This window comes from Homo sapiens, chromosome 15 (genome assembly GCF_000001405.40).
Source record: "Homo sapiens chromosome 15, GRCh38.p14 Primary Assembly".
Lineage (NCBI taxonomy): Eukaryota > Metazoa > Chordata > Mammalia > Primates > Hominidae > Homo > Homo sapiens.
The window spans coordinates 21,553,182-21,573,652 of record NC_000015.10 but is presented as its reverse complement, the minus strand read 5'-3'; the positions used below and the strand labels follow the sequence as shown (position 1 = coordinate 21,573,652).

Sequence of the window (20,471 nt, the reverse complement as noted above, 5' to 3'; positions counted from 1 at the left end):
GTAATATCAGTCAAAATATTCACAAATGCATTCTTCTAAATGCCTAATATTTTTACCTAAATAAGGTATCACCAAAAACGTGATGGGTCAATTTATTGAGTTTTAGATAATAGAATATCTCCCCCTAAAAATTGGACAGGGCAATGGTGTACTTGTGGATACACTGCTTAAGTTCAAAAAATAAAATCAATGGCAGTTCATTGTCATTTGTTGCTAAAAGAATGTGAAAATAACATGAAGGAAAATTTTTAAAGGAAAAAAGCATTTATAGTTCAATTGCTCTAATGTATCTATTTTTGTTAATATGTCTGTTTCATGTGATTTAATGTTGAACTTGCTCCCATTTATAGCAAGTTTTCATAATTATCATTCTTAGAAAGCATAATATTTTATTGAACTAACATGCCATGAATTGTGAATTTTTATGTGGGGAGATGAACATTGTCCTAGACGAAGGGCCTTCTTTCCAAGAAGCTAAGAGCTGACTAGTAAAAGGGAATTTTCAGAAGGGATATTAGGAGAAAAATGAATGCCTCTACTACACAAGAATGACTTCTCACAGAATTTGTACTGTGGCATTCTGGGGTAAGGTTACTGAACACTCCAACACCTTCCTTCCTTCTACCACCAATTTTTTTGATGAACATTACAGTTATCCCATTTTTTGTTATAAAATAATATCTCAATAAAATCTCCATAAAGATTTGCCTTGATAATATTTTGCAAACCTGAATTAGGACTCATCATCTAATCTGAAACAGACTGTCCCAGAAAATACAGAATATAAGAATATGATGTATGTGCAACAATTTTCCTTTCAGATTTTTTGTCTTATAACAGTTTATTGGGAAAGAGATCATTATTCAGTTCAAAAGGTAGGAATGCATTTGTGAATTGGGGCCTGGACATTCCAGGTAGAACAATTATTTGCTCCTTGGATGTAAGACAGTATCAAGCTTTTAGTCAATCTTATTAGAACTCTGCCATATCTCTCACTTGTATAGCCGCTGAGGATCTTTCCTGTTTCCATACTCCTTTCCAGGGTATATGACTTTTAAGTTACCTGAGTTCTGATCAGCAAATGGACTCAGGAAGAACAGGTAGTCAAGGCAGGCAATATTTCCACCACAGTTTCAGAACTCCCTACTTTGTGGTACTAAGTTAATACATTTGTGCAGCCACTACCTTTTCAAAGGTTTCTTCTTACAACCTCAAATACTATGACTGGTTCACAACCTTTTCCATAGTGCTAAATTATTTGACCAAACACCGCATATATACCATATTTTTTCAAAGCCAAACTGTATCCCAAAGAGAGAGAAGGAGGGAGAAAGAATAGCAGTAAAAATACAGTGTTATTTCAGGTTGATATTTAAAAACAATTGTGCTGGTTAATGGAATTTCCTCGGGGGAAATGACAATTGAAAGTCGGTATTTTCTACTTTCAAATACAAGTCATGGTGTTTATTCGCTGCCTTTACAACTGAATAGATGGAATTCGCTGAACAAACTTTGATTCTACCCTCAATTACAACTAATTCCCTCACAAAGCAAAATTTATTTCACAACTAAACATTATGTACATTCAAGATTACTAGAAAACTTAGGACATAAGGTGCAAGTGCGACAATATTAGGAGAAAAGAAAGAGTGTGTATCAGTTTAACAGGTTTTCACATGCAAATTCACCACCACAGGGTTCGCTGTCTTGGCAACATTGAAAATAATAATAATTAACGTTTTAAGACACCTATTTTGTGTCAGGCAATGTTCCAAGTCTTTTCTATGTATTATTTTATTTCCTACTTATGAAACCCAAAGAAATTGGGTTGGTATTATTGTATCTCTAATTTTTGAAGAGTGAAACAGGCAGAAAAGGTAACTTGCCTAGTTGGAGATGGCATCTGATCTCAGGCAGGCTAACAATGGAGCCCACAGTTTTTACTACTATTAGGGGAAAAGACCAACACTATCGAACGAAATAGATTGGATCAAATCTAAGTCACTGATTGTGTGAGCTTATGCAAATTATTTGACCTTTCTGCCTAGATTTGTTTAGACTATAAAATAGAACTAATGATAATACTTTTGTCAGACAGTGGATTTGATGATTAAATGCGGTAAATCAAGGTAGGATCTTACACATAGTATTTATGGAATCTATTTCAGTTAATATTATTAATGTCTTTCATTTGTAGGGCTCTTCAGCATTTCCCAAACACTTTTATATAGTTGTTCAGTTCATCCTCACAAATTCTGTCATCACACAGTTAAGGTAGACATTCCCATACTCATTTCACTGATGAGATTCAAAGAAATCAAGTATACTGTCCAAGGTCACCCATAGTAAGTGAAGGAACCAGTTCTTCTGACTTCAAGTTCAGTAAGAATTCTGCTGTACCATACATCCTATTCTGGGAAATGTGGCTAAGTCCTGTGTAGCTAACTTCAGAACTACATGGCCATGCAAGCCAAAGAGCTGGATTTACCCCAGAAATGAATACTGTAGAGAAGAAATGAGTGAAGTAGAAGAACTAAGGGATTTCTTTCCAGTAGTTTTAAGGTAATAACTAGTCAAATTATACAAATATTTATGTAAAACGTATTTCATGTGCAAAATATGTCACTGAGTGAAAATGGCAGATCATGAAACAATAGTATTATATAATCTTACACAAACATGAAGTCATGGGATTATGGGTAATTAAGATTCGTTGTTTCCTCTTTTATGCTAATATCTTTATTTCCTAATTTTTCCATGACAAATATGCATTTTTTGTTCAATTTACAAACAACATGGAGTTAACAAAAAATTAGTGTTTACAAATGGATGCATAATTTAAAGCAATGCTTTTAGACACACCACTTACCCACACTTCCCCTCCACTTTGTGTGTAAGGGAAAGGATAATGCTACTGTCTTTGGTAAGCTTTTACCATGTCTTTACAGAGCTTCTCAAGTACTTTTCCATGTGGGGTCACTTTGTGGAGAGGAGTTAATTTGGCACCCTAGTCCTTCTATTTCACTCAGAACCAGCTTTTTCTGCAAAGGAAAGAGTGGTCCTTGATAGCAAACCCTGGCCTTGTGGTTTTCATTCTAGATGCTTAGAGCAACAACAACAACAAAAACAAAAGACAGAGACAGAGACAGAGAGAATGGAGGAACATGTCATACAATCAAATGAACCTTCCCAATCAAGAACTTTACCTGGGAACCTCCCATCTACACTTGTACACATCTCTCCCCCCAAGCTCCCTGCTTACTACTAATACAAGAACCAACTTTAATTAAAAGAGGGTTTGAATTGTTATGTTTTTGATACCTACCTTTTTTTTATTATACTTTGTTTTAGGGTACATGTGCACAACCTGCAGGTGTGTTCCATATGTATACATGTGCCATGTTGGTGTGCTGCACCCATTAACTTGTCATTTAGCATTAGGTATATCTCCTAATGCTATCCCTCCCCCCTCCCCCCACCCCACAACAGGCCCCGGTGTGTGATGTTCCCCTTCCTGTGTCCATGTGTTCTCATTGTTCAATTCCCACCTATGAGTGAGAACATGCGGTGTTTGGTTTTTTGTCCTTGCGATAGTTTGCTGAGAATGATGGTTTCCAGCTTCATCCATGTCTCTACAAAGGACATGAACTCATCATTTTTTATGGCTGCATAGTATTCCATGGTGTATATGTGCCACATGAACTCAAACAAATTTACAAGAAAAAAACTAACAACCCCATCAAAAAGTGGGCAAAGGATATGAACAGACACTTCTCAAAAGAAGACATTTATGCAGCCAAAAGAAACATGAAAACATGCTCATCATCACTGGCCATCAGAGAAATGCAAATCAAAGCCACAATGAGATACCATCTCACACCAGTTAGAATGGTGATCATTAAAAAGTCAGGAAACAACAGGTGCTGGAGAGGATGTGGAGAAATGGGAACACTTTTACACTGTTGGTGGGACTGTAAACTAGTTGAATCATTGTGGAAGTCAGTGTGGCGATTCCTCAGGGATCTAGAACTAGAATTACCATTTGACCCAGCCATCGCATTACTGGGTATATACTCAAAGGATTATAAATCATGCTGCTATAAAGACACATGCACATGTATGTTTACTGCAGCACTATTCACAATAGCAAAGACTTGGAACCAACCCAAATGGCCAATAAAGATAGACTGGATTAAGAAAATGTGGCACATGTACACCATGGATACCTACCTTTTATTTATCTGTGTTTATTATAAGAACATATTTTAAACGTTTATCTCTTCTGAGTTTTTATTATGAGCAAACTGGGCACTCATCTCTTTTAAAGAACATAAGCCATTTATCTATCAAAAGTATATACTACTAGTCATCTTAATAAAAACAGAACCATTTTTAAAAGATAATAATTCAACTATGGCCAACGAAGCAAAGTATCTATGGTTGGAATAAATAATTATTACTTTTTATTAAGTAATTCAATTACTCCACATTTTACTTAAGTGTTGGAAACTCAAGATCTATCCAGGGACTCAAATTTGCTGCACATAGTAGACTTAGATTCAGCTGCATATAATAGAAACTCAAGCTACAGTAATTTATGCAACATAAAGGTTTAGTTTTCTTCTCTCATGCGTGCTTCTAAAGATAATCAGTCCACTGCAGTCCAGAGGTGGGCAGTGCCAAGATATCATCAGGGACCTAGGCTTCCCTGCCTTTTTGACAAATCTTTTGTAGTATGTGTTTCTTTCCTTAAGTTCACCTTATTACCTGAAGATGGCTGCTGAAGTGTCAGACAGTGGCAAAACTATATTCCGTTTATATATCGGAACATAAGCATGTCAAATGATAATCACCATAAACAGAAGAGACTGCAACATCTAATTTTTTAAACTGGGCACATTCTCAAATTGAATAAAATTGAGGTTGTATTAGTTAGGAAGATAATAAAATTGGGTGTTAAATATGTAGCTAACAAACTTTGCCACACATGTATTGGGTATAAAATTAAGAAAATGGACATAAGTGATAGAAGTTTAGAAGTAGCCCCTCTTCTCAAAAGCCTCACTCTAGGAGGTTGATACACCTCTTAAGCAAAACTTTATACCCAAATGAACTGCAAAAGAGACAGGAAAAGAGTTGGTGGATAGAAAAGTTTTTAAAAAACAAAAATGTTGATAAGCCAAAAAAAAAAAAAGACACTACAAAAACTCTTGCAAATGTCTATGGAAAAAAATAAATTTAAATTTATTTCCCCTATTCTCCACAGAACAAAAGGCCCACATACGGTGCTTGAAAAATAAATGCTTGGAATGGTGCTGGGAAAACTGGCTAGCCATATGTAGAAAGCTGAAACTGGATCCCTTCCTTACACCTTATACAAAAATCAATTCAAGATGGATTAAAGACTTAAACGTTAGACCTAAAACCATAAAAACCCTAGAAGAAAACCTAGGCATTACCATTCAGGACATAGGCATGGGCAAGGACTTCATGTCTAAAACACCAAAAGCAATGGCAACAAAAGACAAAATTGACAAATGGGATCTAATTAAACTAAAGAGCTTCTGCACAGCAAAAGAAACTACCATCAGAGTGAACAGGCAACATACAAAATGGGAGAAAATTTTCACAACCTACTCATCTGACAAAGGGCTAATATCCAGAATCTACAATGAACTCAAACAAATTTACAAGAAAAAAACTAACAACCCCATCAAAAAGTGGGCGAAGGACATGAATAGACACTTCTCAAAAGAAGACATTTATGCAGCCAAAAAACACATGAAAAAATGCTCACCATCACTGGCCATCAGAGAAATGCAAATCAAAACCACAATGAGATACCATCTCATACCAGTTAGAATGGCAATCATTAAAAAGTCAGGAAACAACAGGTGCTGGAGAGGATATGGAGAAATAGGAACACTTTTACACTGTTGGTGGGACTGTAAACTAGTTCAACCATTGTGGAAGTCAGTGTGGCGATTCCTCAGGGATCTAGAACTAGAAATACCATTTGACCCGCCATCCCATTACCGGGTATATACCCAAAGGACTATAAATCATGCTGCTATAAAGACACACACACACGTATGTTTATTGCGGCATTATTCACAATAGCAAAGACTTGGAACCAACCCAAATGTCCAACAATGATAGACTGGATTAAGAAAATGTGGCACATATACACCATGGAATACTATGCAGCCATAAAAAATGATGACTTGATGTCCTTTGTAGGGACATGGATGAAATTGGAAATCATCATTCTCAGTAAACTATTGCAAGAACAAAAAACCAAACACCACATATTTTCACTCATAGGTGAGAACAATGAGAACAAATGGACACAGGAAGGGGAACATCACACTCGGGGGACTGTTGTGGGTTGGGGGAGCGGGGAGGGATAGCATTGGGAGATATACCTAATGCTAGATGACGAGTTAGTGGGTGCAGCGCACCAGCATGGCACATGTATAGATATGTAACTAACCTGCACATTGTGCACATGTACCCTAAAACTTAAAAGTACTGTAATAATAAATAAATAAATAAATACGCCAAAAAAATAAAATAAAATAAATGCTTGGAACAAGAGATGAGAAAACTATTTTAATGTCTCCAAAGGCAAACTTATGTCATTGTTATTGCAAGAACAGAACAGAAGCAGAAAAAATATTCAAAAGGGCTTCAGTCAAGTCAAACAAAATATGAATTAGAGTATGGGGACTTTTCTCTCTTTGGGAGATTAAATTACCAAAACCCTGTTCTGGCTTTGATTTTTTGACTTCCTTCCCAAAAGTTTCCCATTGGCCTGTGTCCTCTGGAAAACAAGATCCGACCATTCAGATAAACATCCATCTTTCCTCTTCTCCCTCTATTCCGTAATCCCAACTTCAGTAGGAAGGTCATGTTCCTTCAGCAAGACTGTGGGTCCCTCTTCAATTGTACTGCCATAAAGGGAGCACTGGGATGGGGAGGTAGAAATGGAGAGATGATGGGGTGCTCTTACTGCAAGGAAAAAAACTCTCCTGGAAAATGGAGATGGAACTTGTTCTTTCAGAGATAGGAGGATATTATACAAAGTTAGTGGGAACTGAAATCCCCAAATCAGACTGAAAAAGAGGAAATCAAAAATAGAAAAGGTAGCTGGGAGGGGAAAGGGAGAGAATATGATGCAATTTGGGGAGATGTTAAGAGGTTAACAAAGCACTCTCCTTCTTCCCTAGAAATTCCCACCTGACAGTTAATAACAAGGGAGTCACACCTGTGTGTGACAGAGGGCAGCCAATGGCCATTGTGGAGGAAAGAATCACCGAAAAAAAGGCTTTACTCTTGCTGCACGATAAAGTGGAAAAAAAAATCCTTCCTGAGAAATTTCAACCTTGTCTCTGCTGACTTCCATTTTCTCTGCTCAGAGGTAAACAGCCGCTAGATAAGCCTTGTGGACAAGGTGGAAGAGCAAGTAAGTAGAAACTGACAGGGCAGAAAGCAGAAATGAAGAATCTCTCACACAGAGAGACTCTGCCCCTCTCCAAGGGAAGCCAGAGGCTTGAAGCCAGGCAGGGATTAGGTGGCATTTAAGAGGAATCTGTGTGTTAAGACTTGCCACAATTTAACTGCTCAAGTAAGGAGCTGTCATTTGTGGATAATGTAAGTATGCTTCAGGTGATACTATCAAACTTGATTTCCTGAAAGCAAAGGACCACTGCATAGCTCAGAATTCTATATTCCTAGGATCTCTACCTCAAAACCATTGCGTCTTCTTGGTCTGAGATTTACCCCAGCCTCTGAAATCTCCCTGAATGCTAGAATAGAGAGGGAAGCCCAAGAATAACAGGGCATGCTATTTGACACAGTCAGGGCTCAAGAAACAGACTTTGAAAAATGTGAGGAAATAGCCATGGAAATAGGATGATGGAGCACCAAATGTATTGAATGATATCCACAATGAGGTGGATGGCTTTGCAAGGTTGAGTCATCTAGATGATTCATTCCCAGGACCTTCTCAGGCCTCCTCTGAACTTTTCACTGAAATCTGAGGCATGTACACTACTCATGCTCCAGCTCCCTTTGAAGAGACATTATTACTCAAGGAAAGGCAGCTTCTGTGCTTCCAGAGCCAGCTTTCTGTGGTCACCCAGCAATGTTATCTCAAGAGAAAGACACAGAAATCCATGTCCTTTGATAGAAAATCCTCCTTTGCTCAAGGGCATGAGTTACTGAATAAGTCCAAGGAGGGTGACACTTTTCATTCTTGTTTGATGTCTGTCATTCTCGGAGCACCAGCCTGATCTGCCTCTTTCCATCTTTTCAGGGACCCAGATAGGGGACACATGATTATTGCTGATTTCATAATAGGCAACTGGAGGCTTTACCATGAAAGATGAATAAGTAAACAGTGCAACTTGGAGGTAGGGCTGGCCACCTACCACTTGGTGGCCAACGCAGGGACTGCTCACCTCCTGCTGCTGTTTCTGGAGCCTGTTGATCAGCAGCAGCTGCACAGCTACCACCGCTTTACCCGGTAGCTTCAGAAGGAGGACTATTTTGATTTACCCCAAGGTGAGGTTGAGTGGGATGCCTTCTGTGAGTGACTTTGGAGAAGGCTAAGGAAAGCCAGATGAGAAAGAGAGGATTAGAAGCTGTGAGAGGTTTAACCAGGCAGAAATCTCTCCCAGCAGGGGCCTGGATTGCCATCACATCACTGAAGGGAGGGCTCACAAAAGTGGTCTGCAGGCAGTGCTTACTCCAAGCCCGCTTTTTACACTGAAAATGATAGTTGAAGACAACATATTTGAAAGCACCTGCAAACAAAGTTCTTTCAAAAAACAGTTCTGATACCCTGCTAGTCCTCTCACACAAGGCATTCCCTTAAAAAAGAATATGCAAAAATGGGTTGGAGAATGCTATGTGCATTTTTCAAAATGAATTCCTTCTGCCTCCACTGAAAGCAATGTGTTCACTTGTTTGATAAAAAGCTACTTTATTCCAGAGGAATGAGGCAAGAATCAATGAGCTACTTGTCAGTGTTCTAAAGCTAAATTGCAAATTCAGAGTTTCTCTAATTCATGAGGTTCTCACAATAGTAGTATTGCATGAGTGAGAACAATAGTTGTGATCCTGTATTACATATGAGGAATCCAAGCACATAAAGATTAGGTGACTTACCACTGTGGCACAGCAAACTGGATCTGGTGCTCATCCTCTGAGTCACAGTCCAGGGCTCTGTACTCTCTACTGTCTTCCGCTTACCTCCAACTGATGACAGCTTACCTTGCTACGGAGTTAAATGGGCAAAAACGAGGTAAACATCTTAAAAATACACACACGTTATCTATTTCTGAGAATATTTTCACAAATTTACAGAGATTTTGCATAAAATTATAAGTGCCCCCAAACAGAAGGATAAAGTACATTGATAAAAATGGACTATAATGTTCTCATTAAGAATCATGTTTCAAAGAACACATAGTGCTATGGGGAAAGACACATGATATATTAAACAAAAGTATTAACAAAACTGCATGCACTACGATTCCAATTTTGAAAATAATTACATAGATATCTAATATACGAAATACAGAGAAACAGAGGAGGCTAGAAATGGTCTTAGAAATGGTATTGTGGATGATTTAAACTTCCTATACTTTCCTGTGTTATTATTTTTTTCTAAAATAAGCACATGTTGTTTTCATAATATTAAAATAAATTCTCTTTTGTAAATGGAAACCTTAGTGTAGACTAATTAGTTTAATTCTCTACTTTTTGTTGGCATGACATGAGCTTGAGAGAAAGTATAAATGTCTAAATCTGGAAAAACACAGCAAAAAAAAAAAAAGGTAAAAAGTCACTGCAAACAATTTCAGAGACCATCTGTTAGACAAATGGGCCAAAGAGGGCTTCTTTATATAGCCCCCTAGGGTGTTTACTTCTTTACAGTAAGCTGAATCCTGTTAACTCAAATGCCATAGATAAGATAAATTCTGGGGCTGTAAAGACCCCAAGTTGCTGCTGTACTTTGGAGCTCTCTGACACAGAGTCCACACTGGGCTACTCAGCAACATCACCTAGACAAGCAAATCTCTCTCTTATCGCCCTCTCCCCTGAGCGCTCTCTAGTCCTCCTCCCCTTCTGGATAGAGGCCTGATGCCATAGCCTCTGAAAGGTAATGCATTGAGGGACTATCCCTGCATGAAAAGCTATCTAAGCAGCTCCCCCAGGAAAACTGCCACCTCAGGGTCAGCTCCTCAAGTTTTGGCTCAGAAAGTGAAAGACTTCCACACACATTGCTTCAGGGGAAAAAAAAAAATTAGCAATTTCTTCCTTAATAGAGTTGGAGTACTTGTAGTCCTGTGGCATAACCCTGGGACTTTGCTGACCACAAGTCCAGTATTTCATCCCCCCTCCCTTTGTCTGCTGTCAACTAGTGTTCCTTAGAAAATATTATTATTGTTATCAATGTTAATAAAACTTCACGTTCTAATTAGCCTTAATATTTTCCATTACAGTTTTTTATGTTGTTGAAATCAACCTGAATGGTTTTTTTCTTGAAATATCTTAGATCGTATCATGGAATTTCAAGATTGAAAGAAATTTGCATCTGATGCTTAGATACCCTCTCCCACTTTCCCAACCTATATCTGACAAAAGCAACTGATAGAAAGTATTGTTCTTCAGCTCGTTCCATCATTGCATATATTTCTCTGTTAAAAAGTAAGTCTCCATGATGAATTAAAATGTGTCACCCTATAGAATTATAGTAATTCTGTACTTTAGAGATTAAATGGGACAAATTCATTTGCTTTATTAAATAATTACCTTTCATTTGTTTCAATAAAACTTTTTGTTCTCCAATTTAAATATCCCAATTCCTTCTACTGTTACTCATTTTCCGTACTTCTAAGTCCCCTCTAGTTGTTCTTCGCCAAATTCACTATAGTTTGACAATGTACTTCTTAAGTGAAACTAAAATGACAAATTCATGAAACAAGTGGGCAAATAGTTTAAAGTTAAGTACCACTAAAACAGATATTGATCCAAAAATCTCAACGTAAGTACAGAACCCTTGGGGCTGGCACATGTGCAGAATTGTAGAAAGAAGGGAAGAGATAGATAAGCCTTTGAAGCATTTTGTAAATTCTTTGCCATAACTGACTTCTGTCTTTATATCCTTGGACTTCATAGAACCCCTTGTTCTTACATTTTCAGTCCTAAATCCAGTATCATCTATTTTGTGGGAAAACATAGCTATGTTAGTATAAAAACATATATCAAGGCTTCCAATTATATTTGATATTCTGATTCAGGCTTAAGGTCAACTGATTATTCAGATTAGACCCAGGCCTCATCATCTTTCCCTTTTTCCCTAAAGGCTGAACCAATTAAGATCTCAGTTAAGAAACACTTTTTGAGATCTTCCCAAAACTTTCTCACTGTTATCCCTAGATGAGTCCACTTGGAAATGTTGGATGATCCAGAAGGGTCAAAAATAAACCTTGGCACATTTATTTAAAAATGAAGCAGGTGGAGACTGGAGGTCAGCAGTGAAGACTGAGTGTACACACAGCGTGCTCTTAGTCACCACTCCTCCAAGAGGAGCTGTCCAGGGTATGATAGCCATGGCTCAAAATGTGTCTGCTACATACTCTCCTAAAGAGTCAGGTGTAATCGTTGCTTCCTAAATCAGGAAAGACTGCAGTGCCCTTTACATCTGCTTGTAACCACAATATGGTTATTGGGTGGGCTCCAAATAACTGCTATACTTGATAATGTTACCTTCCAACACTGACCCTTTTAAAGGCCTTCTAAGAAATTTTGGATGTGAGCGCCACTGTGTTCCTCTTTGCTGAACACTTTCTCAAATGGGAGACCAAGGAAGATGAGGTTGACTCATGTATTCCAGCAGACAGAAACCTAACTTTAGATGTCTACTCTCTACATGTTTCTATAATTCTCACACAACAGCTTCAGATAAGGCACAGCTCAGATTTTTTTCATGTCTTTTCCACTTTCCTTTAACCCTGTGTTGCATTTGGAATCAATCACAATCTTGAAAGACACAGTTCCAAACACCATAATCGAATGTTGAAAATCAAAAGAACAAAATCCTTAAAGTCTAAAATTCCAAAAATCGCCATCCCAAAAGACTGAAATCCTGAAAATTTAATTCTGGAAAAAATAGTTTTAAAAATTCTTTAAGATATATTTATTTACATTTTTAAAAGGTATTTATTTGAGTAACATATAAAAACACAAAAATAAAAACACAGCAGAACACTTCAAAGATCACCTTACACAATAAAATAAGCGATAACATACATTTTTGCAAGCATAAACATTCAGGCCTTCTATCAACAGTCACACAAGTATAAGAGTTATAAACAGATGAACTATATTCATGACGAAATAGGTCAAAAGGTGAAATATGTAAATGCATATCATTGTGGTTGGTAATTGTATGCACCCAGCTCTATAACTGTAGTCTTCTGAAATACCATGATAGACAACAGAAGTATTTTCATGATACTGATTAATCACCACCACAACAGTCACCTAAAGAACCAAGATCTCAAGAAATAATGTTTTAAATGTTTCTGTAGTACTGTAAGGTGAATATAGTTAACTATAATTTATTGTGTATTTTTACAAAGCTAGAAGAGAGGATTTTGAATGTTCACAAGACAAAGAAGTGCTAAATGCATGAGGCGATGTGCTAATTACCTTGATTTGATCACCCCATATTGTCTATGTGTATTGGACTAGTACTCTATATCTCATAAATATAATTATTACATGTCAACTAAAAATAAAAGGAAAAATATATTTTTAAAATGTTAACTCAAAAATCTTAGCTTAATAGTTGTAAAGAAAGAAGACTCTCCCATCAGAGTGAAGTGGGAGTGATCTTGCTTCAGGAAATGAAGCTGCATCAGCATAACAGGACTTTGACCTGAAGTCCTAGCTGCTGGCTGAAGCAGCCACTGAGGAGCCTTTGACAGCAAAATCTGTAAAAAACATTGCGTGATAGGCATACCTAATCGTTAAAGATAAAAACAATACATAGGTACACGAAGACATTCGTTGTATCTCATATTTTCTATAAATGTTCTAAGGAAATGTACTTGTTGCCTAGAGCTCATTTAAGAAACAAGGTTCTCTTCAGTGCAGCATGTGCTGTTTTAGGGACCCTGCCAGTGTCCTTCCAATAGGACCAATGCTCTAAAATCATCACATAAATAAAGTGTGACAAGAGTTTCAGCTTCTTGGTTTCGTACTCCTCCCTCAGACATACTCTACTTTGTACGTTTACATTTCCTCTTATCTATCTCAATTCTTCAAGCTTCCTCATTGAAAAATAAGCCCTGGAGAATGAATGGAATATGTAAATAAATGAAACATCCACCAGTAGATTATCGTTAAGAACTGTAGTATGTGTACATGATAGAATGCTTCCCCGTATTAAAGTAAATATTTTTAAAGATTATCCCAAAATATGGGTAAAGACTTAAGATAGGCTATTAAAGTGATAAAAATAGAATAAAAAGTAGAATTCAAAATTAGTCATAATATGATTCGAAGTAGAAAAAATAGGAGTAATGCAGCAAAGTATTAGTAACAATTTGATGTAAATGAACTGTGCCATTAATAATTTTTCTATATTTTTCATATTTGTCCATTTTTTGTTTCATTTTCTAAATAGTTACTTAAATTGTGCAAAATTTTCTCTACAGTTTAAATGTCTACCAACAACTCAGAGAGAAAATGTCCTACAGTGGCATGTAACTTCAAATGATCCAGACCTTTACATAAGTGCTAAAAAGTGTTAATGGTGTCATTTCTGGGAAGGAGGTGCCCTAGAAGAGGGAAACAGACTGGATTCTCAGGCCTTTAAGGTTGTCTTCTTGAGACAGTCTCAGTGTCCTAACTATCAGCACCGTGTATGGAGCCGAGACCCAATTTGCATATTTCAACAAGCTTAATTTTCTCAACAGTTATGGCTTTCACTTTCCCCCATCTTCTTCCAGCCATCTCTATTTATACACCCAAGAAACTTTCAGATTTTCCTTAGTTTCCTCTCATAACACAAACGTGCCTGAGATGTTATCAGGCACATTTATCATTCACATGTCTCTTGAAGGCGTTCAGAAGAAATGAATGGTATCCTTTCTCCTGGAACTGCATCCCACCCTGGAAAGCAAATGCTGTTTACATTACTCTTATAGGATTTTTCCAGACATATGATAAAAGAAAAAACTTCAGCTGAATTAAATTTAAAGGAGTTGAATTGAGCAATGAATGATTCACAAATCAGGCAGCCCCCAGAATCACAGCAGATTCACAGAGGCTCCAGCACAGCCATGTGGTGGTAAATTTATAGACAAACAAAAGGGAAATGACATACAGAAATCAGCAGTGAGTTACAGGAACAGCTGCATTGGTTACAGATTGGCATTTGCCTCATCAGTGTATTAATGATTGAAGTATGGCCACTGAGATTGGCTAAGACTTAGCTATTTGTTGCAGGTGCATACTCGTAAGTTAGGTTTTCAATTTTGTCTGCCTATTAAGCTAGGTTACAGTTCATCCACAAGGATTCAAATATGGAAGTACAAGTCCTTCTCAGGCCATATTTAGTTTGCTTTAACACCTATGAGCTTAATACCGACAAAGTGAACACTATTTCCTCATATCATACAAAACCAAAAGTGTTGAAACTAAATTGTCAGGATCTAATACTCAAATATCATAGTATGATATATTTTCACTTTCCCATGGTGTTCTTTCCCTCCTTTCATATATTCCTTCACTCTTATTTTTTAGCATATTCATTCATCACCCAAAACTTCATCTTATGTGCTAGGTGTTGGGCCAAGGCTTGGAGGAACAAAGTGATGCAAAATACTGACAGACTTTTTTAAATGCTTATTGAGTCAGAGGGGCATGAGATTCTGCATTTCTTTTTATAGATATATATACTTTAGGTTCTGGGATACATGTGCAGAACGTGCAGGTTTGTTACATAGGTATACACGTGCCATGGTGATTTGCTGCACCCATCAACCAATCATCTACATTAGGTATTTCTCCCAATGCTATCCCTCCCCTAGCCCCCCACCCCTGAAAAGCCCCCAGTGTGCAATGTTGCCCTCCATGTGTCCATGTGTTCTCATTGTTCAACTCCCACTGATGAGTGAGCCAACATGCGGTGTTTGGTTTTTTGTTCTTGTGTTAGTTTGCTGAGAATGATGGTTTCCAGCCTCATCTATGTCCCTGAAAAGGACATGAACTCATCCTTTTTTATGGCTGCATAGTATTCCATGGTGTATATGTGCCACATTTTCTGTATTCAGTCTATCATTGATGGGCATTTGGTTTAGTTCCAAGTCTTTGCTATTTTGAACAGTGCTGCAATAAACATACTTGTGCATGTGTCTTTATAGTAGAATGATGTATAATCCTTTGGGTGTATACCCAGTAATGGGATCACTGGGTCAAATGGTATTTCTAGTTCTAGATCCTTGAGGAATCACCACACTGTCTTCCACAATGGTGGAACTAATTTACACTCCCACCAACAGTGTAAAAGCATTCCTATTTCTCCACATCCTCTCCAGCATCTGTTGTTTTCTGACTTTTTAGTGATCACATATGCAGAAAGCTGAAACTGGATCCCTTCCTTACATCTTACACAAAAATTAACTCAAGATAGATTAAAAACTTAAGTGTAAGACCTAAGCCCATACAAACCCTAAAAGAAAACCTAGGCGATGCCATTCAGGACATTGGCATGGGCAAAGACTTCATGACTAAAACACCAAAAGCAGTGGCAACAGAAGTCAAAATAGACAAATGGGATCTTATTAAACTAAAGAGCTTCTGCACAGCAAAAGAAACTATCATCAGAGTGAACAGGCAACCTACAGAATGGGAGAAAATTTTTGCAATCTATCCATCTGACAAAGGACTAATATCCAGAATCTACAAAAAACTTAAACAGATTTACAAGAAAAAAACAAACAACCCCATCAAAAAATGGGCAAAGGATGCGAATGGACACTTCTTAAAGAAGACATTTATGCAGCCAACAAACATGAAAAAAAAGCTCATCGTCACTGGTCATTAGAGAAATGCAAATCAAAACCACAATGAGCTATCATCTCACACCAGTCAGAATGGAGATTCTGCATTTCTAAAAGTCTCCAGCTGACACTGATGTTGCTGGTCAATAGACCATACTTCATGTAGCAATGATCTAGTGATGACCTAGTTAAAATGTCCAAGGAGACAAGTTCCTGAACAAAAAAGCCTCAGAAATATCTCTACCTCACCCACATAATGATGAGAAAAAGTCAGAATTGGGAGTGATTCTTAAAAATCAGTGTTTCTCTCTCAAAGTCAGGTTAAGGAGTAGACATTGCCTGATTTCTATTAAATCCTACTAAGATTCTGCCAGATAGTAGAAAACATTGTAATACAAATTGAAAAACATCTTTGTTCCTGTCATTTATTGATTTATATAACATGTTATTTGTTGAGAACCATGGTGCACTGGGATGTGTGGTACTAATCAGGGATACATGGTGACCTAAACTAGACCTGGAACACTCTTGAGGAGCTTACAATCTAGTATAAATCCTAAACACTGAATAAAATAGCCAGGTAAATAAATGCCAAATTAATCATTCAGTAAGTGTTATAAAGGAAAGGTACATTAAGGCCTAACATGATTCAATGGAGGTGGCGCAGGGAACTCTGTCTCACTCTTCATACCATAAAAGGCTTCTTGAGAAAGGAATGCTTGAGTTGAGACCCTAGAAAAATGAATAACATACTTTAAATAAAGGGAGATGAGGGTGAAAAGTGGATTTCAGGCACAGAGAATAGAATATGACATGATTTCATCTCCCTTTTTGAAACAGTAACTGTGGCCACGGTAGTGAAGAGTTTAGAGAAGGACAAGGGTAAATGTGAAACTAATTATGAGGCAAGTATATTTGTTTTTGTATTTTTGTGTATTTTTGCAAGACAGGATGAATTTTATTCTGTTTTTAAAATAAGTAAATTTATCTTTGTTCTTTGGAAGACCTCTAGTAAAGAATAAATGTCATGACATGTTAATCCTGAAAATTGTTATAGTTGCTCAAAAAAGAAACTCAAGAACTAAAATTGGATCCTATCAACCCAGATAAAACACTGAAAATTATGAAACTTTCACTCAAAATACAGTGATAACTGCAGAAAAGCAGCAACTATTTAATCATGCCCACCAACAATGTGCAGTGTCCTCCATGGGCCAAACACACTCCAGGTGGCGGCCATGGATGGAGGGGAAGAGGACTGGGGTTTTCTATGGGGTGATGGCAGTGTTTTGGAGCTCAAAAGAGGTGGTGGTTGCACAATGTGAATGTGCTGAATGAGGCAAGTATATTTGAAAAAGATGGAGGCAGTCAGTAGAGGTGGTGGTAGAAATTGAAGGAAATGCATATTATTACATATTTGGGAAGTAAAATGTATTTAAAGATTGGAAATGGAGGTGAACGGTTAGAAAGATGGTCAGATACCTTGCCATGGCGCCTCACCCTAATACTTCAGTGCATGCCAGCCTGACTTCCAGCATTCACCCCTGCATTTCCTTACCTGAGGGCTTTCTCTGATCACAGAAGCCGCTTTTGCTGTCCCTGCTGCAGGTTGGGCATGCTGAGGAATCAATGCCGCTAGGAGACAGTCCATAACTAATGACTATCAGAAACTGTTGTACGAATACCCTTTATCTCTCAGCATGTTTCTGAGATGAGTTATCTACACTGGATCTCAGAGTTATTCCAAGTTTAATCCACAGTTATCCATTCTGGTAACTGCTTCATAGTTCACTCTTGATAAGGGTCTTTGCCCCACTTCCCAGTTCTCCTACCAGAGATTCTGATACCTACCAAATGAATCACCTGCAGGTGAATCTTAGTCTCTGGATCTGCTTTCAGGGTAGCACTGTAGTCAGATGAATGGGAATCCATTCTCTCAGAAATGCAAGAAGGGAATGTGGTTTGGCAAAGTTCATTAGATCAATTTTGGAGTTGAGTTTGAGGTGCCCCTGAAACATTCAAGTAAAACTATCATCCAGCAGTCAAATATTAATACCATGTAGCAGTTGTCATCTGGAACTCTGAGGATGCAATTTGTATTAACAATTTGATATACTCATTGGCAAATAAGTAATAACCAAAGCTTTGGAGAAGAAAATGACCTAGACAATAGTATAGCATTGAAAGATGTGAAGGCCTGGAACTCAGCCTCACAGAGCTTCAGAATTTAATGGCCAAATAAAGGAAAAGAAGCCCACAAATCAAATAGAGGAGTTGTAGCCAGAAATGTGGGAGTTTTCTGGGCAATCAGGAGGCAAAGTAGAATAGAGTTGACACTGAAGCCAAAGGAAAAAATGTGTTGGAACAGCAGTGCTGAATTCTGCTGAGAAGAGATACATCTTGAAAAAAAAATGTCCATAAGACTTAGACACATGAATGTTATTGGTGATTTCTGCAATGGCCATTGCAGGGTTATGATGGGGAGGGAACCATATTTAAATATATTCAATGTGAGGCAGGCATGAAGAAGAGATGAGGCTTTCTTGCTGTGTGTTAAGCATGCCAGCCATCCCCCTGCCTTGTGGCGCCTACACATACCATCTCCTCTGCCTGTAATGCTCTTTTGCTAGATATTTATATTTCTTGCCCCAACACTTCCTTCAAGTCTTTTCTCAAATATCACCTTCTCAGTGAGGCCTTCCCTGACTAGCTATTGAAAATTACACCCAGTGGGGATGGGGAGATATTGGTTAAAGAGTTCAAAGTCTCAGCTAAACAAGATCAATAAGATCTGGAGATGTACTGTATAGCATGGTGACTGTAATTAATAATAACATATTGTTCAGTTGTCTCTTTATATCTAGGGGAGACTAGTTCCAGCTCACCCTGGAGACAACAAAATCAGCAGATGCTCAACCGCCTCATATAAAATGGTGCAGTATTTGCATATAACTTACACACATCCTTCCATGTAGTTTAAATAATGTCTACATTTCTTATAGTAGCTAAGACAATGTAAATGCTATGTAAATAGTTGTTACACTATATATTTGAATTATTTTTTGTCATATTGTTATTTTTATTTTTTTCTAAATATTTTCCATCTGTGATTGAATCTGCAGATGCAGAACCACAGATACTAAGGGCCAAAAGAATACTTGAAAATTGCTAAGAGAGTTGATCTTAAATGTTCTCACAACAATAAAATGGCAAGCATGTGAGGTGACAGATATGTTAATCAGTTTGATTTAATCATTTTGCAATGTACACATATATCAAAATATCACCTTGTATACCATAAATATATACAATGTTTTCAAATTAAACCTTAATTAAGCTGAGGGAAAAATGTACACCTGCCACCTGTCACCTCCAACACACACTTCCTATTGACCTGAACCTTCTAATTTTTCTCCATCTTTACTCATCGCCCCCCAAGCATGCCACATAGTTTATTTACCCCGTCTTCCCCCATTACAATATAACTTCCACAAGTCAGGAATTTTTATCCATTTTGTTCACTGCTGTATTCATGAGTATTTATAGTAGTGTCTGGAATGTTAACAATTATTATTGTTGAATTAACTAATCAATTATTATTTTAAAAATATAAATAAACATGTATATTACATTTTGCATTTAAACGCCATTAGAGCCCAACTATAAATATAAGTATAGATGGAAGGGGAAACCTTAAATGGTTTTATCCTTATATTCTTTTTGCCAATATGTTTTCCCACATTTCTCTACAATAAACTTCTACACCTTTATAATATTGAGAGTAAATATTTCTTAAGAAAAATTATCCTTAAGAGAGAGCTCAAAAAAATAAATAATTCACAAAAAACTGCTGTGAAGGCTATGCATGGAAAGGGCAGAAGGGAGATGGAGGGAGTGCAGAGACCTGTGGGCTGAGTCTGAGCCTCAAGGCTTTTTCAGCATGAAACTCAGCAAAGACAGGTGTTAAAAAGGCCTGCCTCCCACCGCCCCTGCTGGTCACTAAGCTTAGGCAATCAAAGTGTACCAGTGTTTTTTCACTGCCCAGCATATACTGATTTAAGGACTCAACACTCTGACTTGAGAAAACCTAAAACATGAAGTTATCTCAAAGGTGGGTGAGATTCTAAGGAGGCTCAAATATATAGTCCTCAATTAATTCTCACCTCAACTTAGTTACAATCTGATACAACATATTAGGAGACAGGAACAGCACAGTGGTAAAAATCAAACCTCACCTCAAAAGATCGTAAATTATTGCTCTCAGATTAGTATTAACTGACACAATATGTGCAGTGAGTATCTTCTCTTCCTCCTCCCGAATTACAGAAGAGAACGTGAAAGACTAGGAGCCATACACATTACCCCAGGGAAAGCAGAGTGAAAGGGCAG

At 37.5% G+C, this 20,471-nt stretch overlaps 1 long non-coding RNA gene across 2 annotated transcripts in view; it reads right to left on the bottom strand.

Moving 5' to 3' along the window:
- Positions 1-20,471, bottom strand: part of LINC02203 (long intergenic non-protein coding RNA 2203) — an 87,749-nt gene that overhangs the window by 66,869 nt on the left and 409 nt on the right. The window contains exons 2-3 of one of the 2 annotated variants that reach the window (NR_015416.2): positions 17,934-18,091; positions 9,172-9,280 (exon numbers count right to left, since the gene is read on the bottom strand). This is a non-coding gene — a long non-coding RNA (long intergenic non-protein coding RNA 2203). Of the gene's footprint in view, positions 1-9,171; positions 9,281-16,491; positions 16,815-17,933; positions 18,092-20,471 lie in introns of those variants that run through there. The other variant, NR_152818.1, reaches the window with a different exon arrangement.